Source organism: Homo sapiens, chromosome 2, assembly GCF_000001405.40.
Source record: "Homo sapiens chromosome 2, GRCh38.p14 Primary Assembly".
Lineage (NCBI taxonomy): Eukaryota > Metazoa > Chordata > Mammalia > Primates > Hominidae > Homo > Homo sapiens.
In genome coordinates this window covers 165,922,434-165,933,576 of record NC_000002.12, presented here as the reverse complement: position 1 = coordinate 165,933,576, position 11,143 = coordinate 165,922,434, and the positions used below count along the sequence as shown (strand labels likewise).

Here is an 11,143-nt window from a genome sequence, read left to right as displayed (position 1 = left end):
TATAGCTTTTGCACATTTCTTAAGTTTATGCCTGTTATGTTTTTCTTTTTGGTTTTTGTTCCATTTATTAATAAGATTTTTTAATGTAATATTTTCTCATTTGTTTTTATCACGTAGGAATCTGTTGTTGTGAATAACATTAGTAGGTATTGTAATGTTTGACCCTGGTTTGCATTCCCGGAATTCCTGTAATAAGTCAGCCTGGTTAAGGTGAATTATTCTTTTACTATACTGTTGTATATAGTTAGCTAATATTTTATTTAGGATTGCCACAAGATTTAATGAGACTAGTATAATCTATTCATATCTTTTAAAAACATATTAAAAATTAAACTCCAGAGACTTTTACTTGTTTAAATAATAAAGTTGATAATTTTCACAAAGCAGATGACATTTTACTAGTGAAAATTACTTATTTGAACAGTGGAATAGTGAGGCAAGCAAACCAACTTTTCATGCCCTCGAATAAAAGAAAATATATAAATTTATTTTGACATTAACTAAATTGTTTTCCTGCAGGTTGCTGCTCCAAGATAGCCAAAATGTGGAAGCACTGAGAATGCAGGCACTCTACTATGTGTGTAGAGAGGGGGATATAGAGAAGGTAAGTGGCATTGTATTATTTAAGTTTCCTATATTAAAAAATATATTTCATTACACATACACACCCATGTGTGCATGTGCATATACATTAAAGCCTTGAAGTTCTCTTTTAAAATATACATCATGGTAGTTTTTAGTTGATTACTAGAGTATACCTTAACAAAGAGGTCAGCTTCTGAAATCTATTGGTAAAGCAAAAATACTATACAGTTAATATTACCCTTGAAAATCCCTTAAATCATTAATTATAGTATATATGGCTTTCTGTATGAAACTCCTGTGTAGTAATATATATGATTAATGTAACTAGATACGTAATGTAACTAGTGATACTAGATATGAGAAAGTATGTATGCAAAATGTAATTTATAGTATATTTACAATTTAACTGAATTTGCAAAAATTAAATGGGCTTGGGATAAAATCCCATTATACCTCATAATAAAGCACATCTGTTTCTGTAGTAGTGAACACATTGACTGTAGATTGGATCATGGAGTGCCAAACTCTAATCTGAAGGAAGTAATATTAGTATAACATGTAGTAGATTTGCATTTTGTTTAGTGTGGTTAAATTGGTTAATGTGACAGTGCCTGATAGATACTTCAGTAAATGCTAGGAGTATCTTAGTAGGGGTAAATCTTCAGTAAATTTTCCAGGCATTGAAATTACTTATACTAAGTACTGTAATGATTTTTCTAGTCTAGAATATATTTTGAATATAAACCAGTCTGTATAGGCAATTGAAGGGCTGACCTCATATACTTGTAAATACATTATCATTCGTATCTCATTTGTGTCATGAATTAACTATTGAAGGCGGAGCTGGGCATGTACAGTTAATGGAATATTATGGGTGTCTTCGCCTATCCAAAGGTTTCCATTCAATAACAAGTATTAAAGAAACACATTCTAAAACACATTTATAATTATTGAGTTTGTTAGAATCTTAAATATGTTTTATAACATATAATCATCCATTGAAGGAGGAGGAATTTATAAAAGCAAAGGTCTTTTAAAATACTAGTAGGGTAATGCTTTGTTAGTGTGTATGTGCATGTATTATGTTGTTTTTACTTAGTATATTTTAAGTTAATACCAGTTCCTTTTGTTTTAGGCTTCCACCAAGCTGGAAAACTTGGGAAATACATTGGATGCCATGGAACCACAGAATGCTCAACTTTTCTATAACATTACACTCGCCTTCAGCAGAACTGTGAGAGTGCCTACCATGTACCAGAGCTCTGTTATCTATAGTAGAGGACATAAAATAAGTGGAAAAGGTGGAAGCAGGGAAGAGCATATGGCCTAGAGTGCAAATATGTATTTAAATATATGATATACTCCTAGGAAAGGCAGTTTAGAGGAGGTGTGGTTTCCAACTGTAAGAACCTGATGGAGGCTTCATGGAGGAAATGCCACTTACTGATCTTTTAAGCATAGCGAAGTGCCTTCCAGACAAAGGAAATAGAAGGTGGTTTATTTTCATCAGAGCATAAGATTTATGACCAGGATTGCTCTTAGCTTTTGTTTTTTAAAACTATTTTTAAAAAGTTTTAAAGTGTATAAAAGACCATTTTGGTGGAGGGAATGGTTGGTATCTTATTTTTTAAAAAACAACAGGAAAGAAATGTTTTTATTATAAGCTCCCAGTAAAAGAAAGGTAATCAAGAATGAAATAGAAAAATACAGTAGAATCTCAAAATCAATACAAGGAATGAGAATATTGAAAAGTTCATTAAACTAAGAAGGTTAAAATAATTAGCAAGCATAAAGTTGAAAGAAAAAAGGATTATTAATTGTTAAATGACATGAATATACTGAATTTTCTTATTTAAAAACAAAGATATCAGATTGTGTAAACTTTAGAGGAAGAAAACTCCATGCTATAACGAAAGTTTGAATTAAGGAGGTATTTACCTTTTTTGCTTACCGTAGTGCTAGACACATTATTTCAATTAGTTTTTTACTAAGCTTATAAAATATAAGTTCAAACATTTGAATAAATATTTTACTCTTAAAGTTTGTTGTCTTGAAAAATTATGTACTTATTCTAACAACACTGCTATTTCTTGAAATTTTTTTCAAGAAGATTCTAAGGCATGAGCTTTTAAAATATTCTCACTGATGGCATAGCTAGTGTTTAGGGGGAAAACAGATCCTAGTCCTAGTTTTTTATTCAATAAGAAAAAGCATACATATATTATACACACACACACACACACACACACACACACACACCCCCATACCCACGTAACCATAAAATAATGGTTTTCCTGTTTAATCTGTAAAACAGTCATGAGACAGCTTGGAAAAGGAGTTCAAAAAATATGTTTTTGCAGTGACATCATTAGAAGTGTACTTTTCATACTAGTTATTTTGTAAAAGCATTATATTCATTAGGATATTAAGTTCTGATAGAATATAAACTCTTTCTTGATGCATTGTCTAGATAATAGGAAAGTTTTATTTTTCCTTAATTATTAATTTTTTTCTTTTTCATCACTCCTTTGAAGTACAAATAATATATATATTTAGAAAAAATAATCCTTTAGTCTCAGTAGAAATGTTAGACTTTGAAATCTTACATCATTTTTTTTTCTTTTTAGTGTGGACGTAGTCAACTTATTCTTCAAAAAATTCAAACGTTACTTGAGAGAGCTTTTAGTTTAAACCCTCAGCAATCAGAATTTGCTACAGAACTTGGATACCAAATGATTTTACAAGGAAGAGTTAAAGAGGCACTGAAGTGGTATAAGACCGCCATGACACTTGATGAGACTAGTGTGTCTGCCCTAGTTGGTATGACAACTGTTTTCATAAATATTTATAATATAGATACAAGTAGCAATTGCTTTTAACTTGCCATTAGAGAAGAACACATGGATTTTGTGGTTTTCTAAACTTAAATTGTTCTCTACTGCCCACACTCGAAAAAGTCATGTCTTTAAAATTTTTAATTCACAAATAATATCTTGAGAGAATAGATTTTTATAACGTGGTTCCTATAAATTATGAATTCTTCAGTAAATGATTTTATAAGGTCCAAGGCTACCCATTTTATTTTCTTTCACTCTTCATTTTCTTTCTTTCTGTTGTTTTTAATCTAAAACGTTAAGTATTGTGATGGGGGAAAGGGTGTTTTATTAATGTTGTTATGTTAGCTTGAAGAGTGCATCCCTGAATTGGTGTGGACTTTGACTGTCTTTCTGCTGTTTGATTTTAGGATTTATCCAATGTCAGTTGATAGAAGGGCAATTACAGGATGCAGATCAGCAGCTAGAATTTTTAAATGAAATCCAGCAATCCATTGGAAAATCTGCGGTACAGTATTTTATTTTATCAGCTGGTAGATGCTAGCTGTTTATAAAATATGAAATTATTAATCAGTCTTATTGTTTTGTAATGGCTGTAAAGCACTAGTGTACACTAATTTTAATATGTAATTGCATTTATTTACCTCCATTCAAAACTAAACTTTATTCTTCTGAATGATTCTAAAAGTCTATTCAAGCTAATACTTGAGTTTGAACAAATAATTGCATATCAGTAGCACATTATATGCATTTGAAATCTAAGTGGAAATAAATGGCTTTATAACTAAATGGAATAATTTATGAAAACTACTTATTTTCTAGGAATTAATCTATTTACATGCAGTTCTTGCCATGAAGAAAAATAAACGACAAGAAGAAGTTATTAATTTGTTAAATGATGTCCTGGACACTCACTTTTCACAATTAGAAGGTTTGCCTCTTGGCATACAGTATTTTGAAAAGCTAAATCCTGATTTCTTGTTAGAAATTGTTATGGAGTATCTGAGCTTCTGTCCAATGCAGGTAAGTAATTATGGGACTTACTTTCAAGGATGCGTTTACTTGATGTTTTATGAAAGAACTTAAAAGTTTTCTTTGATGCATTAGACTATATCGGCATCTTAAAATGGTAGTATTTGTACCTATGTTAGTTGAAATCGCTTTTAATCAGACTGTTTTTAGTAATGACTGCTGTCAACTACTGAAAGTATTGGTTTGCAAATATTCATTTGTATTTCATAAAATCTTAAAATCTTCAGTTTAAAGAAATATTAAAAGGCATCTAATTCAGACACCTACCTTATATTTGCTACCAGTCTGTAACATCACTGTCAATGTCTATCCCATGTCTGGACACACTAAAATGAAGTTCTTGTCATATAACTATGATTGTTAGCCTGTGTTTCCTGTGTTAAGTCAAACTCTGCTTTTGGTTAAAAAAAAAAAAAAGAAAGGACCATTTACTGGTCCTCCTTCTGCTCCCTAGATTGACATAGGGCAAGTCCAGTTGCTTAGAGCAAGGATCATTCCTCATTCATTAAACAGACCTTCAGATATTGGCAATTAGTTTTCACATTCCACTAAACAACTCCAGGTTTCCAGCCATTTATGTTTTATATGAAATAGTTTTGAGAATTCTGTGTGTGAATCTGATGATATTCTTTATTTTGTCTGTGCCTCTCATTAAGTTTACTATTCCAAACGTGGATTTGACCTGCAAGAACTAGAGTAGACCTTTTCCTCCCTTATTCTGGAAGTCCATCCAACTTTCTTTTTATAAATCACATTACATTAATGACCTCTGTTGAATTAACAGTTAATTAAAGACTTTCAGTCTCTTACTTGTTGTACTTTTGGACTCAAATGTAGGACTCTACATTTATTCCTGTGAAATTTTATCTTTTCAGATTCATCTCATAATTCCATGTTATCATATTCCTTGTGGATCATGATTGTCACCTATTTTAGATGGATCTTTATTGTCATCTGTCATCTGCTTTATCTAGCTCTGAGATAACTATTACTATAATGTTCTTTTCCAAGCATTAACAGTTTTGAGTATAATTGAAGATGAAACCCTATGTTGTACTACCAGAGATTTCTTTCCAAATTGATGTGGATTTATTAGTCAGCACTCTTATTACAGATAGTAAGCAGATACAGACATCCTAACTTTATTATATTCAGCTCACATTCAGCACAGGGATATCAGAGCAGGCACTATCAAGCGTTCCATTGCTGAAAGCAAACTTCTTAGCATTGTCCCTGATCTATAGCTTCAGTAACTGTGTTAACATGGGAAATAAGGAAAATGACCTTCCCTTAGGGAACCCATACAGACTTTTTGATTATCATGTCCTTTTTTAGGCTTTCATTACTATTTATTTTTTAAACTTAAACCCTCATAGAATTGTACCAGGGGTTGACCTCAGACTCCCCAGTCATAATCCATTTTCCCTTGCTTGGAAGTTGGAATACATTTTTTTCAGTATTAATCTAGTATTCAGGATTCATTCTACAAATGTACAAATGTTTATAGAGTACCTAGCACTCTACTTAGAGCTGGGGAAATACCCATGTAAAACAAACTACATTCCTTTCCCCTGAAGCATGTATTCCAACAGGAGGAGACAGATAATATCATTAAGTCAATTGTATAATATGTTTAGAAAATGACAGGAGAAAATAATAGAGCATGGTTGGGTGATGGCGATTTTAGATACAGTGGTCAGGATAGGCCTCATGAAGAGGGTAAGATCTGAACAAAGACTTGAAAATAGGATATATATATATATATATAAAATATATTATATATATATTATATATTATATATATATTATATAATATATAATATATATATATAACTACTAGGATATATATATATATAACTACTAGGATATATATATATATAACTACTAGGATATATATATATATATAACTACTAGGATATATATATATATAACTACTAGGATATATATATATATAACTGTTAGGATATATATATATATATAACTACTAGGATATATATATATATATATCTACTAGGATATATATATATATATATCTACTAGGATATATATATATATATATCTACTAGGATATATATATATACACATATATATATATATAACTACTAGGAGATATATATATATATATATATATATATGGGAGTTTATATATATACTCCATATATACATATGGGAGTTTATTAAAGAATATTAACTCACACGATCACAGTGTCCCACAATAGGCTGTCTGTAAGCCGAGGAGCAAAGAAGCCAGTCCGAGTCCCAAAGCTGAAGAACTTGGAGTCCAATGTTCAAGGGCAGGAAGCATCCAGCATGGGAGAAAGATGTAGACTGGGAGGCTAAGCCTGTCTAGTCTTTTCACATTTTTCTCCCTGCTTTATATTCCAGCCATGCTGGCAGCTGATTAGACAGTGCCCACCCAAATTAAGGGTGGGTCTGCCTTTCTCAGCCTCTTGACTCAAACGTTAATCTCCTTTGGCAACATCCTCACAGACACACCCAGGATCAAGACTTTGCATCCTTCAGTACAATCAAGTTGACAGTATTAACCATCACAGAACATGTGAAAATATGGTAGAGTGTTTCAGACAATGGGAGCAGCTGGTGCAGAAGCCCAAAGGGACACGAGGAGACAAATGTGGCTGGGGCAGGGTGAGGAGGAGGAGAGTAGTCAGAGATGAGGTCATCCCACAGGAGACCAGCCCAGGTAGGGCCATAGCAGTTCTTATAACTCCTTTGGCCTTAATTCTGAGTACAATGGGGTACAATGGGGAGTCACCAAAAGGCTTCCAGCATGATCCAAGTCAACATTTTAACTCAATGTTTTAATGGATTTCTCTATCAGATGTGCTGAGAATAAACTGTAGATAGAACAAGAAATCATGCATTAAGTGGTAGTTGGGCCTCTAGTTCAAATGGACATCCTATTTTCCTTTACCAGGAAATTCTGTTTTCCTTTACCAGCATGATAGAAAGTAATCAGCATATGTGATACTGTTTTCATAGGGAAATATCAGAAAGGCAGAATTGTCTCTTTAGCTCTGTTCCTACTTCTTTGACCGTTTTATAGACATAATTTTGTTTAGAATTTTAATTGAACAAACGATATCTTAAAGATTGTCTGCATAACTATTTTTTCTATGATTGTACATTGAAATTGTTTGCAGTGAAAATGATGGTTGTTCTCAATAACTCATTCTTAGCAGGTGACAAAGAACATTATCATAACCTCACCATCACTTACACTTTCACTATTTTTACTTAGGCTGAAAAAAACAGATATTTTTAAACTGTTTGCTCTGTATCTATTACCGTGCAAAGAAGCATAAAAATCTTATCTTCAAGACACATAAAAACCCGTAGGCCTATAAAAGAAGGAAAACTAAATATGAAACTACCAGTAGAACTGTATGGGTATTATACAGTGCCAAATTTTATTATATAGATTATATATGATAAAGAAGTTGAAGTATTCTAGGCAATAATAGTCATATTCTGATTATCTTTTTGAGCGTATATATTGTGTGTGTCAACATAAGTAAGTTGTAGCACTTTCTTGTTGGTAATAATGGCTCATTATAGGAGTAATTTTCCATAAGAAGGCACAGTCCAATTGAAGAGCTTTATGTGTCAGGGGGCTTGGGGTGGAGAGGATCATCCTTACATAAAGAAACAGCCTTAGTAAGGCAAAGCAGGAGGAATGAACATTTTATATTTAAATTCTGATATCACATTACTAAATTGTGATTGGATGACCATTGGATAAAAGTTGGTTGGGTAGACAGCCATTATAAGAAGAAGAAACAGTGAAAAGAATAAAGTAGTGTTCTAGTATCACTTTAATTATCATACTCATTATTAATTGAAAGGAAAACTTTGAGGGTCTAAAACATGCCGGGATGAAGAGTGGGGAATGTAAAGGTATGAGACATTTAGTTTAGCATAGTGAGTGTTCTACCTTCTGTTTACCACTGGGGGAAATCTGAATTCTTTAAAAAACTGGTTTACAATACTCTAGGGGATAATGAAAGTAATTGAATTGAGCAAATCACAAGGCAAATCTAGAATTCGAACACTTACTGCCTTGACTCTGTCAGTTCTAGCAAGAAACTGTACCTCTCAGTTATCTTTCCTTTAACAGATATATTTCTCTGATAAAACTTTTGAATAGATAATACCCACTTGATATGTTATCCATTTAGAATTGTATAATAGTTTCATAATTATTTTGCTGAACAAGAGCCATTATTTGCATTGTCTGTTCATAGATCCCAGGGAAATAAATTAGTATTAGTTAAGTCATAATAAAGGTATTACAAAATAAGTTAAATCAAAGAAATTTTAGAAAAATGTATATAGCTTGGTTAGTTATACTAAAATTAATATATGTTTATTTTAGGTAAATATTATTTTTACACTTATAAAATGATCTGCTGATTTGTTTTGTTTAGCCTGCAAGTCCTGGGCAACCTCTTTGTCCACTTCTCAGGCGTTGCATCTCAGTCCTGGAGACTGTAGTAAGAACTGTTCCAGGTCTTCTGCAAACAGTCTTCCTAATAGCAAAAGTGAAATATTTGTCAGGTAGAGTATACCTTAAAAACTTTTAACCTTTTTATTCTGATGTTGATAAAAACAAGCGTAAATAAATTAAGCACTGTGTATATATAGAGAATAGTCACATAAAATGTACATTTTATATATGCATAGATAAGTAATTTTAATCCAAAATAGAATTGCATAACTTACTCTTTAATCCTTTAAAAATTACTATAAACTTGTGTGGCTTAAGCGAATTGCTGGGAAAATGCAGTTATACCACTTTAAAAAAAAGTCTGTCAGAAATTACTGGAGACTAGCAATAAGAATTTACAGTCATTAATCCATGGTTGTGTTCTTACTGGTATAACCAAATGCAACATTTGCCAGATTTCAGGCCCTAATGAAAAGTACTGAGTAATTCTTGTTTAGTTTCTGTGAATTGTTATGGATAGCTTAAAATAAAAACAATCCGTTTATAACCTTAGTTTTCTAAGGCACAGACAAATGCCTGACTTTACACATAAAAATAGACCATCATGGCTGGGTGCGGTGGCTCACACCTGTAATCCCAACACATTGGGAGGCCAAAGCGAGCAGATTACTTGAGCCTGGGAGTTCAAGACCAGCCTGGGCAACATGGAGAAACCTCATCTCTACAAAAAAATACAAAAATTAGCTGGGCTTGGTGGCATGTGCCTGTAGCCCCAGTTACTCAGGAGACTGAAGTGGGAGGATCACCTGAGCCCAGGGAGGTTGAGGCTGCATTGAGCCAGGATCACGCCACTGCACTCCAGCGTCAGTGATGGGAGTGAGACCCTGTCTCATTAAAAAAAAAAAAAAAAAAAAACCAGCTGGGCGTGGTGGCTCATGCCTGTAATCCCAGCACTTTGGGAGGCCCAGACAGGTGGATCACGAGGTCAGGAGATCAAGACCATCCTGGCTAACATGGTGAAATCCTGTCTCTACTAAAAACAAGAAATTAGCCAGGCATGGTGGCAGGCGCCTATAGTCCCAGCTACTCGGGAGGCTGAGGCAGGAGAATGGCGTGAACCCGGGAGGTGGAGCTTGCAGTCAGCAGATCGTGCCACTGCACTCCAGCCTGGGTGACAGAGTGAGACTCTGTCTTGGAAAAAAAAAAAAAAAAAAAAGACCATCATATTATGCTTGTCTGTATGTACCTTTGCCAACTGAATGCTATAAAAGTAAATAACGTTTGTAAAACTGTTAAGAGCAGAAACCAACTTAAAGGTATTTTCATGAATAGTTATTTCCTGTAATATAATGGAGTGATGAGATTGTCTTTACTGCTTCCTTGGACCTCTGTTTTCTTTATTTTTTTATTTTTTATTTCAATTTTTTATTTGTATTGGGTACAAATAGTTTTTGGATACATGGATGAATTGTATAGTGCTGAAGTCTGGAATTTTAGTGTATCCATCACATGAGTAGTGTGCATTGTACCCAATATGAAGCTTTCTATCCCACACCCTCTTCCCATCCTCCCTCTTCTAAGTCTCCAAAGTCCACTATATCACTCTGTTTGCCTTTATACTCATAGCTTAGCTACTACTTACAAGTGAGAACATACAGTATTTGGTTTTCCATTCCTCAATTACTTCATTTATATTAATGGCCTCCAGTTCCATCCAGGTTGCTATAAAACACGTTATTTCATTACTTTTTTACAGCTGAGTAGTGTTCTGTGGTGTATATATAGACCACATTTTATTTGTCCACTCATCGGTTGATGGACGCTTATGTTGGTTCCATGTCTTTGCAATTATGAATTGTACTGCAAGAAACATACACATGCAGGTGACTTTTTGATATAATGATTTCTTTTCCTTTGGGTAGATATCTAGTAGTGGGATTTCTGGATTGAATGGTAAATCTACTTTTAGTTCTTTGAGAAATCTTCATACTATTTTCCAAAGAGGTTGTACTAATTTACATTCTCACTAGCAATGTATAAGTGTTCCCTTTGACCACATCCATGCCAACGTCTTTTTTTTTTTTTTTTTTTTGACTTTTTAATAGTGGCTATTCCGGCTGTGGTAAGGTGGTACCTAACTATAGTTTTAATTTACATTTCCCTGATGATCAGTGACGTTGAGCATTTTTTAAAAATGTTTATGGGCCATTTGTATATCTTCTTTA

General features: G+C 33.1%; 1 protein-coding gene across 6 annotated transcripts in view; it reads left to right on the top strand.

Moving 5' to 3' along the window:
- TTC21B (tetratricopeptide repeat domain 21B) overlaps positions 1-11,143 on the top strand; it is an 80,415-nt gene that overhangs the window by 20,200 nt on the left and 49,072 nt on the right. For 5 of the 6 annotated variants that reach the window (NM_024753.5, XM_011511871.4, XM_017004967.2 and 2 more), the window contains 6 exons: positions 520-604; positions 1,721-1,819; positions 3,213-3,405; positions 3,830-3,927; positions 4,242-4,442; positions 8,899-9,028. In NM_024753.5, the coding sequence (NP_079029.3) occupies positions 520-604; positions 1,721-1,819; positions 3,213-3,405; positions 3,830-3,927; positions 4,242-4,442; positions 8,899-9,028 (806 nt within the window). Of the gene's footprint in view, positions 1-117; positions 211-519; positions 605-1,720; positions 1,820-3,212; positions 3,406-3,829; positions 3,928-4,241; positions 4,443-8,898; positions 9,029-11,143 lie in introns of all 6 variants that reach the window. The other variant, XM_047445870.1, reaches the window with a different exon arrangement.